Source organism: Homo sapiens, chromosome 12, assembly GCF_000001405.40.
Source record: "Homo sapiens chromosome 12, GRCh38.p14 Primary Assembly".
NCBI lineage: Eukaryota > Metazoa > Chordata > Mammalia > Primates > Hominidae > Homo > Homo sapiens.
Genome location: NC_000012.12, coordinates 69003523 through 69026153, shown reverse-complemented (window position 1 = coordinate 69026153; position 22631 = coordinate 69003523). Strand labels below are relative to the sequence as shown.

The 22631-nt window shown below is 41.2% G+C and overlaps 1 long non-coding RNA gene across 1 annotated transcript, besides 2 other annotated features; it reads right to left on the bottom strand.

The window, feature by feature from the left end:
• Window positions 797-1996: an enhancer, noted in NCBI's record as "CDK7 strongly-dependent group 2 enhancer chr12:69417938-69419137 (GRCh37/hg19 assembly coordinates)". NCBI's record gives its function as "activates an origin of replication core promoter dependent on BRD2, BRD4, P300/CBP, MED14 and CDK7 cofactors, with strong dependence on CDK7, by STARR-seq in HCT116 cells {active_cell/tissue: HCT116}" and the evidence as "EXISTENCE:reporter gene assay evidence [ECO:0000049][PMID:35650434]".
• On the bottom strand, window positions 823-18495 carry TODL (transcript overexpressed in dedifferentiated liposarcoma). The gene is made up of 3 exons (XR_001749099.2): window positions 18418-18495; window positions 10519-10715; window positions 823-1294 (listed from the first exon to the last, which is right to left on the bottom strand). It is a non-coding gene; the product is annotated as a transcript overexpressed in dedifferentiated liposarcoma (long non-coding RNA).
• Window positions 18018-18711: an enhancer, noted in NCBI's record as "OCT4-NANOG hESC enhancer chr12:69401223-69401916 (GRCh37/hg19 assembly coordinates)". NCBI's record gives its function as "activates a minimal SCP1, AML or CMV promoter by ChIP-STARR-seq in naive H9 embryonic stem cells {active_cell/tissue: H9 hESC(naive)}" and the evidence as "EXISTENCE:reporter gene assay evidence [ECO:0000049][PMID:30033119]".

The window sequence follows — 22631 nt, the reverse complement described above, 5'->3', positions numbered from 1 at the left end:
TCTTGTGCTTATTGGCCGTTTGTATGTTTTCTTTAGATAAATGTTTATTCAAGTCCTTTGCCCATTTTTAAAGCAGGTTGTTTTGTTATTGTCATTGTTGTTGAGTTTTAGGAGTTTTTTATACATTTTGTATATTACTCTCTTATCTGATATGTGATTTGCAAATATTTTTTCCCATTCTGTGGGTTGCCTTTTCACTCTTTTGACAGTATATGTGAGAGTTTGAATTATCATAACAACTCGTATGTGAGTTTATGTGTGTTAGATGTGAGCTACCTAATACTCCTTCAATAAAACTCTTCCTGCCTCAACAGTTAGGGTGGCCTCTGTTGTCTGCAATCAAGAACTCTGATTGATACATTCAGTGAAGACAATTATATTATACTTGGCAATATTTCCTTAAAAGGTAGTGTTTTATGAGAAACCCTTAATTTCAATTGGGACTTTTGTACCAATGTTTATTGCTCCTAACCTTCCAATGTTTGTAAAACTGGTTTAATAGAATTTTTATGTCACAAAGGGGGTACAATGAAGATTATAAAACTAATAGATGAAATCTAGACACAAAAAAGTAAAACTCTGAATAAGAAACCATAACTGAAATGGCACATTTAATTGTAGGAGTTTAACTCCGCATACACTCGATTTTGCTGCAACTGGACAAGAAAGAGATACATTTCTGAGAAAAAAGCAAAGAAAATCAAGTCCCAGTAGTCTAAGTTTTTAGAGCAGAAATCCTAAGAGTATCTCAAAAGAAGCGAGATTGTTGATCATGGAAGTGATTGATTATCATGAGGTTAACACACCTTGGAGGAGATGGAGATAAGCAGGTAGAGAAGGAGGTAAATGCTCCAGGCCCAAGGTAACAATTCAGGATTCTAATCTCAGTTATTTCACTTACATGCTGAGTAAGTTATTCATTCAGAGCTGCTCCTATTAATTCCAGCCAATGATTATACTCTTAAAAAAACAAGGTGCGCAAATTAGAATGCTTGCTTTCTTGTTATTTATGCATGTTCTCTGTCTATCCCACACAGCCATGTGAGTAATAGTGACCTCATCACAAAAAAGAAAAAAAGAAAAAAAAACTCGCATAAACTCTGCTACAGGAATGCACGTGTTTTTCGGACCCAGACTTTTTTTTTTCCTGTTTGATTTATCTCTCTATTATTGGAGATTTTACTTTTTCTTCCTGGTTTGCACATGCTGGTCTTATCAAGAGAGAAGTACTTCTGTCCCATGTTCACCACTTCCATAGAAACAATTCTCTCCAATCTTTCTAATATGAGAAAAGCTGGAAGACAGAAATGAAAAAAACAATTTAAATTGGAATAAAGATTTTTGTTTTTTTTAAAAGCGCACATCCACTTCAGCTGACAAGATGATTCCTGAAGAAATCAGAACAGACAAAGAAGCAAGACAGAGAGAATAGGTAAGCTAGTATTAAGTGAAAGGTTGACAGGGAAGTCAGTTCTCTTCGGAGCAAAGCACACCCTGGCAGAGATGAGCGGGCGTTTAACTCTCCAAGTCCACACCCAGTGGAGTGCGTCACCCAGGCTCTTACCTTTCGTAGCTGAAGAACGCCTTGTGCAATGACCTGTGCCACAGCCAGCTAATGACATGCAGCATCAGGCATCTGAGAAATAATTAACTGCCTGCCCTTCATTTTCAGCCTACAATTAGACAACTGTGGCTGCAATTGTGTGTGCAGTTTTCCAACAACAAATAATTGTGGCTAAAGGCATGCTTGCATTGTGAAAGGGAGACATAATTGGGACCCCCCTTTAATAAGTTAGTACCTAAAATGTAAGCAAGTATATAATTTGGCTAGTGGAAAGACAACCCTGACTTTTTTTAATTACATTTTTATATTTTAACAAATGCTTTCCCTAGCCCATTTGCAGACCTCACTGCAGCATTGTTGGCATAGAACAATCATAATTAAACTATAAGTAAGAAATGCCACATCACAGATGAACCAACACTGAATCCTAGCAGACTGTAGGGTACCCTGTATTCATTGCAGAAGAGGCACCAATAAAGGCCCAAAAAGCAAAGGACGCAAATTATTTCATTCTACTTGAAATATTAACAGAGTCAACCGCAGGGCACCCAGCACAGTGCCCAACACGTGGAAGACACACATGTCTCTAATTGATGCTGTGTTGAGTCCCCTTCCTTGTGCTCCCGCAGCATTTAAAAGGTGGCTTTACTTTAGCCCTTAGTGCTTCCTGTCTTCTTTCCGTTTGCTTGTTTGTCTGTCTGTCTCCCCCACTGTCCTGTGAGCTATTGGAAGGAAACATCCATGTCTTTTTCATCCTTTATTTTCCTGAGCATATTTCTGTCTCTGGTGTCAGAAAGCCACATTAGCCTCTGTCAAACAAAACAAAACAAAACAAAATGACAGGAAAACGGGGAGCTCTTAGTAGGATTCCCTTTCTTTCCTCCATCTCATGGGGCTGCCTCCTTTAGGGAGCTGGCCTCGTTCTCTCTGCTGCAGGTGGGTGTTCTCTATGTGGGTGATAGCATAAGCGGATGGCTCTTCAGTCAGACTGCCTCAGCTTGAAGCTGGTTCCACTACTTACTTAGAATAAATTACTTAAGCTCTTTGAGTCTCAGTTTCCTCATCTGTAAAACAGAGACAACAACAATAATAATACCTACCTACCCTATAAGGTGGTTGTAAAGATTAAATGAGATGATAATACACAAGCAGAGCCAGGCATGGTGGCTCATGCCTGTAATCCCAGCACTTTTGGAGGCCGAGGCAGGAGGATCACCTAAACCCAGGAATTCAAGACCAGCCTGGACAACATAGTAAGACCTTGTTCTACTAAAAATAATAAAGTTAACCAGTCACAGTGATGCATGCTTGTACCAGCTGCTTGGGAGGTTGAGGCAGGAGGATAGCTTGAGCCCAGGAGTGCGAGGTTGTAGTGAGCCATGATTTCGCCACTGCACTCCAGCCTGGGTGACAGAGCGAGACGCTATCTCAAACATTTTTTAAAAAGGCACAAGCAACTCACAGCGGTACCCAACACATGGAATGTGCTCAATAAATGTATGCTAATATACTATTAGTGTTGCTATTTTTGTGGAAGAGGTAGAGAGATAGGCATGACTATAGACATTTCTAGGTGATATCATCCTAACTTAGAGACCCCAAAGGAAAAAGGGGAACATTTATATCCCAGTATCTATATAAACAATTTCCAGGAGGGACTGATTAGCTATGTGTTATAGAGTTCACCACAAGCCAGGCACTACAGTAGGTGCTTCCTATGCATCATCTCAGTGAATTTTTACCACAGTTCTATGATGTAAGTACTTTTTTTTTTTTTTTCCATGAGACAGAGTTTCTCTCTGTTGCCCCGGCCAGAGTGCAGTGGCAGGATCTTGGCTGACTGCAACCTTTGCCTTCCAGGTTCAAGCAATTCTCCTGTCTTAGCCTCCCGAGTAGCTGGGACTACAGGCGCACGCCACCACGCCCAGCTAATTTTTGTATTTTTAGCAGAGACCAGGCTTCACCATATTGGCCAGGCTGGTCTGGAACTCCTGACCTCAGGTGATCCACCCACCTTGGCCTCCCGAAATGCTGAGATTACAGGCGTGAGCCACTGCACCCATACGTAAGTATCATTTAGTTCCTCACTTTACAGGAAAACCAAGGCTTAGACAAGTTTATTATTGATAAAACCAAGGCTTAGAGAAGTATATTACTGATAATTCAGGGGTTGTAAAACTCTCTTCTGTAAAGAACCAGGTATTAAATATTTTAGGATCTGCAGGCTAGATGGTTTCTGTCACAACTACTCAACCCTGTCACTGTAGAACTGAAAGCAGTAATAGACAATATGCAAACAAATGAACATGGTTGCGTTCCCACCAAACTTATTTTATGGGCACTGAATTTTGAATTTCATATAATTTTCATGTGTCATAAAATATTATTTTTCTTTTTTTTTTTTCATTCACTTAAGAATATAAAAGCTATTCTTAGCTTAAGAACTCTACAAATAGAGGTGGCAGCTGGATTTTATCCTTGGGCTGTTTGCTGATTCCTGTTTTAGTCACTTTCCAAAGGCCACATAGCTAAAAGTGGAGGATCAGCCAGGAGCAGTGGCGAGGGCCTGTAGTCCCAGCTACTTGGGAGGCTGAGGCAGGAGGATCACTTCAGGCCAGGAGTTCGAGCTGTAGTGCATAATGATCATACCTCTGAATAGCCACTGTATTCTAGCCTGAACAACATAGCAAGACCCCATTTCTAAAAATAAATAAATAAAAATGGTGGCTCCCAGCTTCAGGTCCAAGTGCCATGACTCTTGGGGTCTGCACACTTAACCACAACTATGCTAGCAAAGCAAACAATTTTTGATGGAAGGAAAATGCCCCCTCCCTCCATTAAAAAGCCAGTTTTGTATCTATTTGTAAATTCATTTTAATATTCCCAATCCATATATGTGTCTGTTCTTTGGATTTTCCTTTGAACTGGTTGTGCCATCAACCTGATTCCCTCAGTAAATAATGAGTGAAATAATATCTTTTACATGTATTCACCTTATATCTGAAGGAGAATCAGGATTTTACTTTTTCTTAAAATTATCCTCTAGGAAAAGGCACACCTGTAATCCCAGCACTTTGGGAGGCCAAGGCAGGTGGCTCACTTGAGCTCAGGAGTTCAAGACCAGCCTGGGCAAATGGCGAAACCCCATCTCTACTAAAAATACAAAAATTAGCTGGGCGTGGTGGCGCATGCCTATAATCCCAGCTACTCAGGGACCTGAGGCAGGAGAATCTCTTGAACCCAGAAGCAGAGGCTGAAGTGAGATCTTAACCACTGCACTCCAGCCAGGCCGACAGTGATGTCTCAAAAAATTTTTTAAAAAGTTTTTTAAATTAAAAAACTAAAATTATCCTCTAGCAGTTTTGGAGGTCTTCCACTGAGATGCTCAGTGGGTTCACGTGACAGAGCCAGGTAAACTCCATCAACAGAAATGGGCAGCTTCATGGGCAGCTTAAGTCCAGGCACATCCATTCTTAATTTTTAGAGGCGAAATCAAAATGACAACAGAACTTTGCTTGCTCCTTGCTTTTGTTGTTGTTGTTGTTGAGACAGGGTCTCGCTCTGTTGCCCCGGCTGGAATGCAGTGTGATCTCAGCTCACTGAAACCTCTGCCTCCCAGGCTCACCTCAGCCTTCTGAGTAGCTGGGATTACAGGCATATGCCACCATATTGGGCTAATATATATATATTATATATATATTTATATATTTTATATATATTTTTATACATATATATATCTTTTTTTTTTTTTTTTTTTTTTGCAGAGACAGGGTTTCGCCATGTTGCCCAAGCTGATCTCTAATTCCTGGGCACAAGTGATTCACCTGCCTCAAACCTCCCAAAGTTACTCCTTGTTTTTCTAATTTTAATTTTCCCTCTGCCAATTTTGTGTTTTGTTTTGTTTTGAGACAAGGTCTTTCTATTTTGCCCAGGCTGGTCTCAAACTCCTGGGCTTGAGTACTCCTCTCCCCTCAGCCTCCTGAGTTGCTGGGATTACAGGTGTGCAACCACCATGCCTGGCTTGTTTTTGTTTTTGATTTGTTTATGGCTGATAAGTTGTTCCTCACTGGTGACAGCAATGACTGGGAATTTGGTTTATGGTTTGACCATTTGGTGATTTCTGTAAATGAATTATTGAATTATAGAGACCTATTCTCTAAATGATTTGTTAGACTTTTTACTCTAGTTTGTATGTCTACTTGACTATTTTCAGCTAAATCAGGTCAGAAATAGAGAGAGAGATTTGTAGATGCTTAGTTGCTGGCTTTGAAGATAAGGGAAGGGGCCACAAGCCAAGAAATGTAGGTAGAAAAGGCAAAGAAATGCATTTTCTCCTAGAGCTTCCAGAGGGAATGCAGCCCCTTGCTTTTGCCCCTTGAGACCCATCTGAGACTTCTGACCTTTGGAACTGTAAAATGATAAATTTGTGTTATTTTAAGCCAGTAAGTTTGTAGACATTTGTTACATTAGTATTGCTTTGTCAGCAATAAGACACTAATAAAGAGTCATTAATAATATGTCCTTTCACCAGAATATAATTGGAAAAATCTGTTATTCAACCAACACCTAGAATGCAATTTTTGAGCATAATGTTTATTTAATCAGGTATTACAACAAGCACTTTTAAGGCACTAAGATGGCCTGTTTGGAGCCAATAATCACAAAGCCCTTCCAGGAAAACTGTCCCAGTATTTGGCTTAAAGGTCCCAGTCTTACAGGTGAGAAGGAATTTGTCCAAATTTATAGGTACCGCAAGTGAAATCTAGTGGAGAGTTTCTTGGCTTTGGTTTCCTAGCCTCAGGAAATAATAAAGGCTTTTAAAAGTCCAATCACATTCTTCATGAAAACTTTCAGCAAAACAAACTTAGATATGTTTGTCACGGCCTATATGGTAAATTTACATTCTTGTTATGCCCATGTAAATAATCAGGCCAAATATAAAAACTAGTGATCAAGAATAACCTATTTTTGAGGTTATTTTTACTAAGAAGAGGAGACTATAAGGAAAATTTTAACACTTTAAAACAAGCAAAAGAGACTACTGGATATTCTTTCACGAAAATGCTAGAGACTTCAGAAATTCATTCTATAAGGATATGCACTTTTTTTGAGTAGTCTATATTATAACTCTGTAACTTACAGAAAAATGATAGCATTGCAAAATTTTGTCTACAGACATGCAAATAAATTATATCTGGTGGTAGAGGGACAAAAGCCAGTTTTGTACCTATCTGAAAATTCATTTTAATATCCCTGATCTAGAACTATATCTGCTTTCTGAGTTCTCTCAATTATGATATATTTGCCTGATTCCCTCAGTAAATGATGAGCTAAGCAGAATCTTTAAAATATATTCATTTTCTACCTGAATGACAGTCATAATTTTATCATTTTTGAAAATTATTCTTTGCCAAGACTCAGGTAAATAATATTATTAATATTTTTATATATGTTCATTTAGGAAAGTTCATTATCTTGTGCAGTCCATTTTATGGTCAGACAGCTCTAATTACTAAAAACATACTTCTATTAACTCCAAATTAGCATCTCTATAATTTCACTTATTTGTCCTATTTTTGTCCCAAAATCTAAATAAAATAATCCAAAGGATCTGTCTTTTTCAAATATTTAAAGTCGTTTGGGCTCACAGCCCCATTTCTCCATGTCAGGCTTTCTCACCTTACAGTCCTTGCTTTCTTGACCAGATCACCTAATCCATCTGCTCCTTTCTGGTTGCTGCGCCTCTGGTTATTGAGAAAGTTATTTTTCTCCCAGAATGGAGTGCAAAGTTATGGAGAAAAATGTCCATACCACCCCCTCTCCAACAACACGTGTGCATGCACACTCTTGCACATTCACATACACTTATCAGTACCATTCTATATTTACTTTCTAAAAAAGATCTGTTTAAGGACACAAGTGTTTTGTTCTTAAAGAGTTTTTATTTTAGCCTCTATAGAGACAATGATAAAAAGGCAAAATCGGCCAGGCACAGTGGCTCACACCTGTAATCCCAGCACTTTGGGAGGCCAAGGCAGGTGGATCACTTGAGGCCAGGAGTTTGAGACCAGCCTAGCCAACATGGTGAAACCCTGTCTCTACTAAAAATACAAAAATATTAGGCGGGCATGGTGGCAGGTGCCTGTAATCCTAGCTACTCGAGAGGCTGAGGCAGGGGAATCACTTGAACCTGGGAGGTGGAGGTTGCAGTGAGCCGAGATTGTGCCACTGCACTCCAGCCTGGGTGATAGAGCAAGACTCTGCCTCAAAAAAAAAAAAAAAAAAAAAAAAAAAAGCAAAATTTGGGCCCTATTAGCAGTTCGAGTCTTATACATGTTCACTCCTACCATTTCATCATTCCTAGCCTCTCATCAAACACACACCTAGATGTCCTAGTTCTTGCCCTGCCAAACTATTAGTCCCACCCAGTGTTTGATGACAGGCTAGGCTGAGCCACTCAGGTCGTCACCCGAAGGCATCTGGGGGAGCGCTGACATAGGTCCAGTGGAATCTTTGTCTTCCCCTAGATCAGCCTCCAGGTATGAGGCACCCCAGGAGAAGGGGTTACTATTTCTCAGTCTCCCACCCACAAATGCATTCTGTGGGTTTTAAGCTATCCTAAACAGTAGCCTCCTCAGGCATATGTAGAATTTTCTGTGATTCCTTTTTGGCCTACAGCGACAGTTTTTAAAGTGCTCCAGGAACCAGCAGCATCCACATCACTTGGACATTTCTTAGAAAACAAATTCTCAAGCCTTCCCTCAACCTACTGAGTCAGATACTCTGGGAGTGGAACTCAGCGATCTGTGCTTTAACAATCCCTCTGGTTAATTTTAATGCACGTTCAAGTTTGAGAGCCACTGGGTTACAGACCTCATTAGAGTACAGTGGGGTCTGATTCTACTCCTTCACACAGCCCTGAGCTATGTCTTGGGCACTTGGTCTCAATGATGATCATGTGGCCTCTGGTCAGTCCCTCACCTGCTTCTCCCCCAGCAGATTTTTCCATTTTTTCTATTTATAAGCAGCTTCCTGACTGGACCACGTCCCAGGTTTCTCCTTCTGGTCTGAGGATGATCTCAAAGTTTAAAGAGACAGCAAAGAAGAAGCACACACCCTGAGCGGCAGGGAGTCCTTCGTGGACCAGGTCTACAGCTTTACATACCCTGAATGTCGTCCTCTTCCAAGTGTGCCCTCCCTGTCCCTCAACCCCACGAAACAGGGCAGTTCTCCAGAACCGTCCTTTTAGACTCACCCACAAAACAAGAACACCTTCTTTACACATTTCTGTGTTTTCTGGTTTTGTTTTTGTTTTTATTTATTTATTTTTGAGGTAGAGTTTCGCTCTGTTGCCTAGGCTGCAGTGCAGTGGTGCAATCTTGGCTCACTGCAACCTCTGCCTGCAGGGCTCAAGCAATCCTCCCACTTTGGCCTCCCTAGTAGCTGGAACTATAGGCAAGCACCACCATGCCCGGCTAAATTTTTGTATTTTTCGTAGCGATGGGGTTTCGCTATGTTGCCTGGGCTGATCTTGAACTCCTGAGCTCAAGCAATCTGCCTGCCTTGGCCTCCCAAAGTGCTGGGATTACAGGCATGAGCCACCGTGCCTGGCCCTGTTTTCTGGTTTTCATACAATGTGCATAGATTATAGTGAGGGGGGGGAGAGCTATTTTTATTTGAACACACACACACACACACAAATTTACAAGACAATAATCCTAGTTTTGTAAGTGTGTGTGTGTGTATGTGTGTGTGTATAAAAAAGACATTGGTAAGGTGGTCATTGCCAGTGATAGGATTATAGGTGAATTGAATGGTTTCTTTGCCTTTTCATCATTTTCTACTTTTTTACAAAGATAAATTAATAAACAAAAACATATATTATGCATGAGGTATCCACATTTTTTTTATTATTTCATGGTACCTCAATTATCCACCAAATTATAAGGAAATCACGAGTGAGAAGCATTAAAATCAGATTGACTTGTCTGGGGTCTAGAAATACATTAAATAATCCTAAAAATACATATCACAGCTGCAAAAATAAAGGCATAAAAAGGCTGAGGCTCTGGATCCAAAGTGTGGCTGTGCATCTGTAGTTTCCAGTGCATGGAACAGCACCTGACACACAGACAGTGCTCAGTCATGAAGGGAGCTCTCTGACCCATCTCTATTCCTCAGAAGTCTCTAGTACTCCGTGTGTAAATTCGGCTGTCTGTTTAGTTCAATTTGGTGGGCCTCTAGACAAAGAAGCCTCTCTCCCTCTTTCTTCAATCATGCAGTACTTTGCAGACTAGAGGAAGCTCAGAAAGGCCTCATTTTTGAAAGGAGTGACAGAAACAATACACTTTATGCTCAAACAGACCTGGCTCCAAATCTTGGCTTCCCGTTTTCAATTGAGGTCTGCTGTTTATGGACGTCTACACATATCTGCATTCAAAAGTACTATGTGCAGAGGAGAGCCAGACTTTCACTGCCTTTATCAAGCTGTCCACCTGGAAGCCGCTGTTTCTACTTCGTCAATGGAGGTTGTACTCATTCAACAGGGTCGCCTGGGGCACTAAATGAGACAATGAGCACAAATTGCCTAGATGCCTGGGTTATGATTATTATTAATTGCTGCTGAACTGGATTTAAAGACAAATGACTGTTGTATAATGTTTTCTGAAATCTACTTTAAATCAACAAACATTGTATGAACCCCTATGGGTACAAGGCATTGCACCAGGCAGGGAGTTTTAGGATTAGGAAGACGTATAAATCTGTTCCCAGGCTCTTAAAAATCACTACCCATATCTTTACAAAGGTAATCATGTTTTCCTTGGCAACACCAGTTTGAACATAAAGTTAGTCAAAGTTATAATCCTAGAGCTATTCTTCCTACATCCTGTCTTATCCATCCAATTATAGGAACCTCAGCTCTTTTGAAATTCCACCTAAGTTCAATGCATCACCTTTGCTGGCCAAGGCATCTTGTCAGTCACGGCGTGAAGCTCCACTCTTCTGCTGGCAGAAACAGACCTCATGATAGCAAATGGCATCTGCGTGTCCTTCTTCTTGGTCTAGTTGCTGCAAGACCCTCTCGCTGCACCATCTGTTCCTCGGCTGGAGCTTGAGCCACACAAGGCCGCAGTTCCCAAACAAATGCCTCCTTGGGGTGAAGAAAACGAGAATGAGTGAGGTACAGTGGCCATTCTCTTCCAACAGCTTCTAGAGCTGCTGATAGAACTGTTTTGGTTTTTACCATCCTGTCTCCCCAGGTCCCTCTCAACAGTCCCTGATGAAGAAAATCTGATAAGCAGTACAGTCCCTGTAAGCAGTATAGTCCCTGTTTTACTCCGGCTTGACTACATCAGCTCTCCTCCCTCAACCTGAGTTCTTTTGCCCTGAGGCTCCCTTGGTCTTTCCTACTGACCCTCTCCTGAAGGAAATTCCCCCACCAGACTTTCAGATATGCCTCCATGTGACAGATTCCTAGCCCTTAGCCCCGCTACTGCACAAGAAACTAAAATACAGGCAGACCATAATCCATGCTCTATTTTAAATTATATCTCTGATGTTATAGATTGACTGCTTATTTAATTGGAAACCTATGGGATTCACTCACTTTCCTTGTTTCTCTCTTTTTTTTAAACAACTAAACAGTTTGAGAGACACAAAAATTAAATTGTGGTGATTAATTATGGAATTAGTGTTTTTAACATTTATCCCTAAAAGTAACATTGAAACAATCTGATGCAATTTTGAAATTAGTAATTCAATCCTCTAGAATTGATTTAAGGCTTAAAAAACTCTAAACCTTTAACTCAAATCTAAGTCATGCATCACTTAACGATGGGCATACATACTGAGAAATGTGTCATTAGGCAATTTCATCCTTGTGCAAAAATCATAGAGTGGACTCACACAAGCCTAGATGGTATAGCCTACTTAGCCTATGTTAGTGGAAAAACCGAGCTCTGTAAAATATTTTAAAGAGGTTTATTCTGAGCCAATATGCATGACCATAGTCTGGGGAAATGTGCAAACCCAAGAAGCCTTCACTAAGTGGTCCCAAGACAGCTAGGTCACAACTCTGTTTCATACATTTTAGGGAAGCAGAAGTTACAGGTAGTCATAAAATCAAAATATATGGGGGTCATGCATTTGTTTGGCCCCCCAAAAGTGGGATACCTTGAAGTGGGAGGCGGGGGCTTACAGGTCATAGATGGATTTAGAGATTCTTTAATTTGCAGTTGGTTAAAGGAGTAAAGCTTTGTCTAAAAACTTAGAAGAAAGGAATGTTTGAAGTTGAGATAAGGAAGTCTGTTAACCAATACAGAGTGAGCTATAAGGGGTGTGTGACTTAACCCTTGTCCGGTATGGCCTTAGGTCCTGTTTATAATGTGGTGTCTTATTGTCACAAAGAGACTGTTTTGTTCATCTTATGATCTCTATTCTAACATTAATGCTGGTCAATTGTGCCTAAACTGCAAAAGAGAGGGGACATAACAAGACATGTCTAACCTCCCTTCCCATCATGGCTGGGAATTCAATTTTTGAGGTTTCCTGGGGTCTCCTTGGCCAAGAGAGTGTCTGTTCAGTTAGTAGGGGCTTAGCATTTTATTTTTAGTCTATAGCTATATGCTTTAGCCTATTGCTCCTAGGTTACAAATGTGCATGGCATGTTACTGTACTGAATACTGGATACAGCTGTAACACAATGATTACATATTTGTGTATCTAAACATACCTAAACATAAGGTAATTTGTTGTGCTACGACATTATGATGGCTACAACGTCACTAGGCAATAGAAATTCTTTAGCTCCATTATAATCTTATGTGGTCCATCATTGACTGGACCGTCACAATGCAGCACATAACTGTAATGTGATTTTAAGAATTTTCACTTTTTGGTCACCCCTTCAGAACACCTTATAGTGTATAAATTGGTAAAGAAAAAATTATTCTGACACTTGTTAAAATGGTAATATAGGGGAGAGAAAGTAATATCTTTTCCTTACCCATTGCAAGATTTATGGCTGACATCCCTATAACGAAAGATGGATTAACAAGAGAAAAGCACAACAAATTTATTTCATCAAAGTTTTTAGGTGACACAAGAGCCTTCAGAAATGAAGACTCAATGACCCAAGGGAAACTGTATTTTTATGGACGGTTATGCAGAAGTGTGATTAGAGGACAAAGGGTATGACCTGTGTATTAGTCTATTTTGCCTTACTACAAAAGAATACCTGAGACTGGGTAATTTATAAAGAAAAGAGGTTTATTTGGCCCTCTTCTGCAGACTCTATAAGAAGGATGGTGCCAGCATCTGCATCTGGTGAGGTCCTCAGGAAGCTTACAATCATGGCGGAAGGCAAAGGCAGAGCAGGCGTGTCACATGGCGAGAGAAGGAGCCAGAGAGGGGGAGGAGGTGCCAGGCTCTTAAATAATCAACTCTTGTATGAACTGATAGAGTGAGAACTCACTCATTACCATAATGACAGCACCACGCCATTTATGAGGGATCTGCCCCCATGACCCAAACACCTCCCACTAGGCCCCACCTCCAACAGTGGGGATCACATTTCAGCATGAGATTTGGAAGGGACAAATATCCAAACCTCATCAATCTGTTAAAGAAAATTGATGGGAGGCCATTGTTTTGGACTGAGTTCCTGCACCAAAAAACAGTAGATTCACAGCAACCAATTACACAGGGCCCAGTTTACTTCAGCCAGCATGATAAGAAAGTCCCCTCTGTTTTAAGCCTATAAGAAAAGTAACTTTATGATGACCAATCCAGTTTTTGCTCCTTGCTTCTCCTTTCTTCTGCCTTTTTTGCCTATAAAGCCCATCTCCTCTGCTCAGCTCATCTTCAGATGGAATACTGCTCAATTTATGAGTTGATAATCAAAGTCAATGAGATCTTTAAACTACACATGTTGAAATTTTGTTTGTTTGACAGATCTAATGGTAATAAACTTGGGGTAACTTAGCAAGGCCTGTTTGTTCAGAATCTTCTGCCTGGCTATAGGGCAGATCCCCCTCTGGAATGAAGGTCTTATGACCCACTTTCAGGGGAGGTAGATCAGAGAACTCTTTCTATGGCCTCAGGGGAAAAAGGTGGAGAAGGTCAGAGTGTGATCTTTCTGCTTCTGCTGTCTTCTCAGTTTCCAAGGTGCCATATTTTGGGGTATGGTGTTGTGAGCCCCAACAGTAAGGAAGACTTTATTCAAAACTGCAATAGGAGAGAGAGATCAGGCTCAACAAAGATAGCTGGGGATTTATAGCCAAGGGGCAGAGTGAGGGGTCAGTGGATAGAAAAGTAAAAATAGGGGACATTTGGGGTAGGAGGGTTCTTGCTGAAGGCAGGCCAGAGTGGTCAGATATCAAGGGTGGAGAGATTCTTGCTAAACTGACTTAGTGTGATTCTTGCTACAACTAGGCTAGACAGGCCAAAGTCAGGATGGATGCCAAGTTCTTTGAAGCTTCACTGAAAAAGGGGCTCAGGGGAGCCTGACTAAAGTTTGGTCAAAGAGAGAGTCTTTGTCACATCGTCGTCTGTTTTAAATCTGACTCTTGAAACTGAACAGTGCAACACAGACAGAGTCTGACCAGTGCAGGATAGAGAACAGATATGTCCTTTCTGGAGATGTATGCTAAATTTCTCTAGCATGTTGACATCGGACTGCTGTGCAGCCATGAAGCCCCATTATGGATTGGCTCGTGTGATATTGTGAAAGTGAACTATATACTTGCTCTTCATCCCCATTTCCTGGCATAGAACTCCTAAAATTTTGGAATCTTCAAAGCAATAAGTATCTTTCTACGCTAATGAGATGACTGGTGGCTGGCAGCCCCTAGGGAGCTTCAGGATGGGGCCTAGTCACCAGAAAAACCAAGGCAGGATTAGAGGGTTCAGACTTTAGCCCCACCATTCAACTTCCAGGGTTTAGTCAATCATGCCTACATAATGAAACTTCCATAAAAGTCCAAAAGGACTGGGTTCAGAGAACTTCCAGATAGCTGAACATATGGAGGTTCCTGGATAATGGAACATCTAGAGAAGGTCTGGACGTTCCGTGAATCTTCCCACGTGCCTTGCCCCATGCATGTCTTCATCTGTGTCCTTTACAATAAATGAAAAAATGTTGAGTAAAGTGTTTTCCTGCGTTCTGGGAGCTACTTTAGCAAATTAATCAAATCCAAGGAGAGCATCGTAAGAGCCCCAACTTGAAGCCGGTCAGTCAGAAGGACAGGTCAAACAGTCTGGAGCGTGTGATTGGCATCACAAGTGGAGGACAGTCTTGTGGGACTGAGCGCTCAACTCTGAGTTCTGATGGTATCTCCAGGTAGACAGTGTTAGAGCCGAATTATAAGACACATAGCTGGCATTCACTGCAGAACTGATTGGTTGTTGGTGGGGAGAAATCCCTACATACTGGTCAGTGACCAGAGGTCACAGAAGTCTTCTGTGTTGATTGTTGGTGAGGGAGAGAAGAGAAAAAGCACTTGATTTTTATTCCTATATTCTCAGAGCTTGTAATTAAGATTGCAGACAGCTAAAACATCAGGTCCTTTCTCCTAAGAACGCTCTCTTTCCAATTTATCCATCATACAACCCAAGTTACTTTCCCCAGATAGACCTGAGCAACCACCAATTGCCTGCTAAATAAAATCCATCCATCTTAACAGAGCACATTAACCTATCACAACAAGTCCTATTAGTTTGAGCAAATTCTCCCAAATTTGAGAACATCAAGGTCTAACCCAAACCATCTCCCTGAAATAGTGACTTGGGGAGGAGTGGGACCTGAGATTGCTTAATGAGGGGTGGGGCTTCTACCTAAGACCCCAGCAACATCAGGGCATAGATCCCAAGAGCCGTGTCCTGGAGGGCTATTGAGGTCAACACCAGCAAAGCGAGTCTAGAGGTGACCAGGGGGACTGAACACAGAGGAGAAGATTGAACACCAGCTCCCAACTAAAGAGGTTTCACGGAATGGGTGAGGTGGGAGGGAGAGAAGCCAAGAGTATCTGTCAAAGCAGGCAGGGGGTAGGTCAGGGGCTTGGGACAAATTCTGGAGTTGGGATTTGGCTCCTACAATGGATTCCCTTCATTATTTAAGTATGACTCTGCATGCCAGGGACAGGCTCGATCACAGGTGCTACAAAAGTCCTGACAGAATGAGAAATTTTCAGTTTTTGAGACTGTAAGGCTGGGAATTTGACTTAGAACAGGAAGAGTAAGTAGGTTTTGTCTCCTGTGTCACCTCTGATAGATCACTGGTTGCTTGAATCACTAAGTTGAGAAGGATTCTGAAGATGCATGTAAACTCCATGGGAAAGTATGTCCAAATGGACCAGTGACATCCGTCAATAGTGTGGGGCAAAATGAGAGGTGGCCTGGGAGCCATGTATCGCTACCCCTGTCACGACGCTGCCACAGAAAAGTCCCTCCCCAAGGATCAGCTGGCATTTCTATACCTGCTGCCACATGCCCCTAGATTTCCAGTACCTTGCATATTCATCTCCAATGTAAGTTTTATTTCATATTCCTCAGTTATTCTCATGCTCTTATGCATATTTATTTCTTAGATAACTTGGTCCAAAACTACCCAGCTTTTTTTTTTGTTTGTGGCACTCTCAGAGTCTCAGTAAATTTTTCAGTGCCCCGTCCCTAAACCAAAAGAAACGCCTACCAGAGCTATTTGTTAATTAGGTCTAAGCAACTTGATAAATATTTATGACCTAACAACTTAGTCTGAAAAACTGTATATAAAAATTGAAATAAAATAATTTTATTTCATTCTTAAATAATTAAAGTTACCTATTAATGGGATGCATTTTCCTGTTGAACACTGCATAACTTCTGTCAAACTAAAAGGAAGACGCTGAGGCACAAAATATAATTTAAAGAGTTTACTTGAGTGAAAGTGAGGACAGCTGCCCCAGAGATTCAGACCCTAGGAACCTGGAATACAAGCTTCCTTTGGACTTTGTTAATAAGCAGGTTTTTAAAGGCAAAAAAAAAAAAAAAAAAAAAGGAACAGGGAGTAAGCTGATACAAAGTTATTTATCAGGAATTCTCATTAGTTTACAGAAATAACATTGATTAGTGATAGGCTATACATTGTTCAGCTATAGGGTATGGGTTGTATTGTCTGATGCAACATTATTAGGTTAATTTATAGATACTTGTAGCAATAGCAAGCAATTTCAAGAGATGAATATGTAGCTCAAAGGAGGCGATAGAATGTGATTGCTGTTTGATTTTAATGTCTCTCTGGGCTTGGTAATTTAAAAGGATTTGGATTCCTCAGATAAAAGTTCTTCTCGCCTCTTCTCTTCTCTTAGCTGCTGCTGCTTCTTATTCTTCTTCTTCTTCCTCTTCTTCTTCTTCTCCTTCTGCTTCTTTATCTTCTTCTTTCCTCTCTCTTTCTCTCTCTCTTTTTCTCTCTCTCTCATTTCTTTGTTTTGTTTTGAAACAGGGTCTTGCTCTGCTGAAATGCAGTGGCATGATTATAGCCCACTGCAGCCTCCAACTCCTGGGCTCAAGCCATCCTCCCACCTCAGCCTCCAGAGTAGCCGGGACTACCACTGTACACCACTACACTCAGCTAATTTTTATTTTTATTTTTGTAGAGACAAGGTCTTCCTCTGTGTTTCCCAGGCTGGTCCCAGATTCCCAGGTTCAAGCAATCTTCCTGCCACGATCTCCCAAAATGCTAGGATTACTGGAGTAAGCCTCCATGCCCAGCCTCTTTTCTCACTTCTCAAGCCTTGGAATTAGACTGGACACCACCACCCTCATTTCCTGTTTCATGTTTCTGCACGTAGTGCCACAGGATAGGCACAGTAGACCCAGCTTCACAAGTAATATGACATAATCAAAAGAAATGTTGAAATGTTGCACAATCTAATGGTGACGCTGTCAACTACCGTGAGCTAATAGTTTGTGTGGTACCTGAATGGGTGTCAGGTATCACTGTGCTTTCCTTACAATTCTAAAATATCCAGTGGCACCCCAGGGCACCTTGGTACACAGCCTGGAAACCATGGGCTTGGAAGGCACTTCATCCATTTCATATTAGTACCTGTTTTCTCTAAAAATAAAAAACCACTTTATATTTTCCTACTGGACATAGTCCCTCTATTAATGAAGCATCCTCCATGAGAAAAATACAAAAAGGCCATTAAAAGTTCAATGAAAGTTATGAAAAAAAGAAAAAAAAATGAACTCAGGAAGTCTTCGAAAATGAGACAAGGCACCATGATCTTACTAAATCATCCAACATATGTCAAAATGTGTAATAAAACACATTTTTCCTTTGAATGCTAGCCAACTTCTGTTGTTTGCTTTGATTGACAGCTTGGATAGACTGGAACAGCAGGGAGCTGGTGAAACTACACTCCCAGGACAAAACAGGTTTCTACATTTTGTTTTGTTTTGTTTTGTTTTGTTTTGAATTCTTTGAAAACCAAGGAAGAAAGGAGAGGGAGCAGGACAAAGAGAAGAAGGCAAGAAGAGATCATCGCTGTCCTCACTTACACAGCTATTTTTTCCATTCAATTATACATTCGGCAAATATTTATATTCTCTTGCCTAGAGGCAATCATATTTGCATCAAATACTTGAATGCAGGATGTTAAAGAAACAACAGGCTGGTCAGAGTCCGGGCTACAAAGGCTTACAAGATCCTTAGGCTTGCACTAAGCACCTTTCCTCTGCTGCCTTCTGCCCCCGCTTTGGTGAGGTGACATTGTCCAGGCCTGCTCAATTCTTTCCTTTGTTGCACCCTAAGCACCTTCGCACCCCAATCTCTAGGTCCAGCAGGACCAGAACAAGGGAAAACAAAGCCTCACCGCAGGACAGTGTAGTTCAGGGCATGCAGAGCTCTTAAATCTTCAGTCATTCAGAAAGAAGGGACTGTTGCTCTTCACCCAGGAAGAATCTTAATTATCCAAATGCATAGGGGCCCTCATGGGTGGTTCCTTAAAATCTATGTGAGTCATACAATCAAAAAAAAGAAAAAGCAGATCCTGAAATCCGTGAGTAATAGAGCACAGTTTCAGAAGCAGGGGTACATTTTTTTTGCATTTGCTTCCAGATTTCTGAACTTAGGTTTCACTCTATAGAAATCTGAGCTGGTGGTAAAAGGAGTAAAAATGAATGTGTTATGAGCCCCTTGGTTCATAATGGGCATTTTCTTGTTGCCTCGCCACGGAACAAGGAGCAGCAGTAAGATCTTGTTCTCATCTCACAAAGCAGCTGCGCTGACACTTCAAGCAGCTGGCTCTAATGTCAGCAACTGACGTTTACCGTTGATCATTTCACCAGCTAAGTTAAACACACCAGGCTTGCTCATAAGTGCTGGCCATGAAGAAAGTGCTCGGAAGGCAAACAGCCAGTGAAAAATCCAGCCCCTCAGCACACACAGGAGAAAGTTTCCCTTTTTATAAACTATCTAAAAAGGGGAAAAGGGAGAGGCATCATACTTTAAATTATGAATTAGCTATTTCATGCTGCAGCCAAAGCACTTCTCTGTTGGAGTGAGCATATCCCTGTAATGGCTTTTTAAAGGATGTTTGCAAAGTTAAAAGTCTACAATATGAAAGATTTAACTCATTTGCACCATCATTAAGGAATGAATTACAGTCATGACATTTAAGAGTTGACTGTGTTGTTGTTATATGACAAAGAAACATCCTTTGAGCATTTCCCCAGAGCCTAGGCAGGATCTGAATTTCAGGAACCAACAAGGACCAAGTAAGTGCAATTACTGAAGGTATATAAAATCAAAACACCTGCCCCAAAACTTTGGTTTGACTTTAGGAGCTGTAAATTTCCAAAGCCAAACTGAAAAAAAGAATTGCTAGCCCCAACCACATCATTAAATGAGCCTAGCAATGAGGCACTTGGAGGAATCACAACCGTAAACCAAAAGTATCTGCGACAGATCTCAAAGAACTTAGAGATTTTTTTGGCTAAGGTTAAGGATGCACCCATGATACAGCCTCCTGTGACCTCCTGACGCAGGAGGTCCTGATGTGCCCAAGGTGGTTGAGCCACAACTTGGTTTTATACATTTTAGGGAGACATAAGGCAAGACATCAATCATCCCATGTAAAATGTACATTCATTCAGTCTAGAAAGGTGGGACAACTGGAAGCACCTGGAGATGGGGTGGCTGCTTCCAGGTCATAGGAGGATTTAAAGATTTTCTGGGCAATTAGTTGAAAGAGTAATTATCAATAGAAAGGACGGAAGGAATGTCTGGGTTATGATAAGGGGTTGTGGACACCAAAGATTTATCATGCAGATGAAGCCTCCAGGTAGCAGGCTTCAGAGAGCTTGTAAATGTTTCTTATCAGACTTAAAGAGTCTGTTCTGTCAGTAATTCCAAAAAGGAAGAGGGTATAATGAGGCATGTCTGGCTCCCACTTTCCATAATGGCCTGAACTTGTTTTTTCAGGTTAACTTTGGGATGCCCTTGCCGAGAGGAGGAGTCCATTCAGAGGGTTGGAGGGCTTAGAATTTTATTTTTGGGTTACACAACTCTACCATGGGAGAAAATTTGGAGGTGGACCTCAGACATCCAATGGAATCTAGTTTAGACCTGGGTAAGAAAGATAGTTTAGGAACAAGGAAAATGGAAAAATATAGGTTCCATGGCTTCAAATTCCACCAAAGAAGAGAAACAAGAAAGGAATACATAGAACATTTATAATCTAAACCATACAGAACTCTGATAGTGTCTGAAACGTTGTGGAGGAAGTCAGGAACCCCAGGTGTTTCTTTCAGGGCCAAATAGATCGTGACCCTGAGCAACTGCCCAGCTACAGACTGGGAAAGAAAGGGATGAGTGGAATCCTTGGATCTGGGGTCTCAAGTGCAGATTCTGCTAACAATAGCAATGATAGCAACGTGCAAATTTTTTCCTCCCTTATGGCCTTTGGGCTTGCTCTTCCTTCTACCTATAACCTCCCTGATCCTCATGTGCTGGCTAACTCTCCCCATTCACAACCCTGCCCGTGTCATAAGACTTTCCCACCCATCAGTCACTCTCGGCCACATCACTCTGCTCAAATTCCTTCACAACTCTTACTACCACCTGAATTTACCGTATTTATTATCCGTGTATTTGTTAATGGTCTGTCTCCCTAGTGGGGTAAGTGTTTAACAACTGGCTGTGGGAGAAAAGGAATGTTAGTAAATATATGTAGCACACAACTTCCAAGTAATAATCAACTATACAATACCCTTTATTGTAAATTCCATGTGGTCAGTTGAATCTCACTGAATGCCTTTGTTGATTTTTGCCAAACTCTTGTGTCTGTGACTGCAACTGTGGCTGCCGTTCAACCATGATTTGACAAATGGAGCTGCATCCCTATCTGCTAACTCTTTTCTCCATAAAAGTATTGCCATTTGATCTGATGTCATCTGCTGTTAAACTATTTCCCACCCTTGTACGAATTCTAGTCCCTAAATTGAAACCTCTTTCAGCTTCAGCCATGTTGTTTTCAACAATGCTAGCTATCATTTTTGTATAGTTGTAAGGACTGGAACAGTGTTTAATAAGAGCTTGCAAAATTTTTGAAAATATAACAATCTGCTTTCATGGGTCAACATGAGCCCTGTGCCTCTCCAGCTTGGATGGTAGTAAGTTTTATGAGAGGACAAAGGGCACCTGGCACATATCAAATATATACTGACTCTTACTTCATAAAAAACATACTAACATCAGTTGGGTGTGGTGTTTCACGCCTGTAATCCCAGCACTTTGGGAGGCCGAGGCAGGCAGATCACTTGAGGTCAGGAGTTCCAAATCAGCCTGGCCAACATGGTGAAACCCCATCTCTACTAAAAATACAAAAATTAGCTGGGCGTGCTGGCGTGCACTTGTAATCCCAGCTACAGGGAGGCTGAGGCAGGAGAATCACTTGAACCAGGTGGCGGAAGTTGCAGTGAGCCTAGATTGCGCCACTGCCCTCCAGCCTGGGCAACAGAGCAAGACTCCATCTCAAATAAATAAATAAATAAATAAATAAAAATAAATAAAGCCCACTAATTTAAAAAAAATACTAATCTTGGTTTTGATTCTCTTATATATACCATCATATACCTAATTCTTCATCTTCCCAGGATGGAAAAACTGGGAAAAGTGCTACCATCCTGGTCAACTAAGGTTGCCCATCTGCTAAGGATGGCAATTACCACCCTCATTATTAGAGGTTTCTAATGATCAAAAATTTTGGTCAGACATGAGATCTTCTCCCTGTCAGACTGTCTTTTTATAGACATTGTGTCACAGGTTCTGAAATGTTGAAAGGGTTTTGTTTCCTGACTCAGGCTACTTGATTCTGCCTATTCACAGAAGTCTGCAGCACCCACCGAGGCTGGCCACGTGATTGGATATGGCCTTTCTTTAGCTCTGCAGATATGTGGATATATTCATTTGCTAGGGCTGCAATAACAAATACCACAGTCTGGGTTGCTTGCACAACAGAAATTTATTGTCTCACAGCTCTGGAGACTAGAAGTCCAGGATCAAGGTCTTAGCCAATTTGGTTCCTTCTGGGGGCTATGAGAGAGACACTGTTCCATGCCTCTCCTAGCTTCTGGTGGTTGGCTGGTTTGCTGGCCATCTTTGGCATTCCTTGGCTGGTAGACGCATCACCCTGATCTCTGTTTTTATGTTCACGTGGTGTTCTTCCCCTGTTCATGTCTCTGTCTAAATTTTCCCCTTTTATAAAGACAACAGGTATTTAGGGACCCACCTTGCCCCAATATGACCTCATCTTAACTAATTACATCTGCAATGATCTTATCCATTCTGAGGTACAAGGGTTTAGGACTTCAACATATGAATTTTTAGGTGACACAAAGTAACCCAATTTGATAGTAGATGTTTTTATTTGCTTGCTTAACTTTATTTTTTAATCTTTTAATTTTTCTTTGAGACAGGTCTTGCTCTGTCACCCATGCTGGAGGACACTGGCACAATCATGGCTTACTGCCTCCTCAACCTCCCCTGTCCAAGCCATCTTCTCATCCCAGCCTCCTGAGTAGCTGG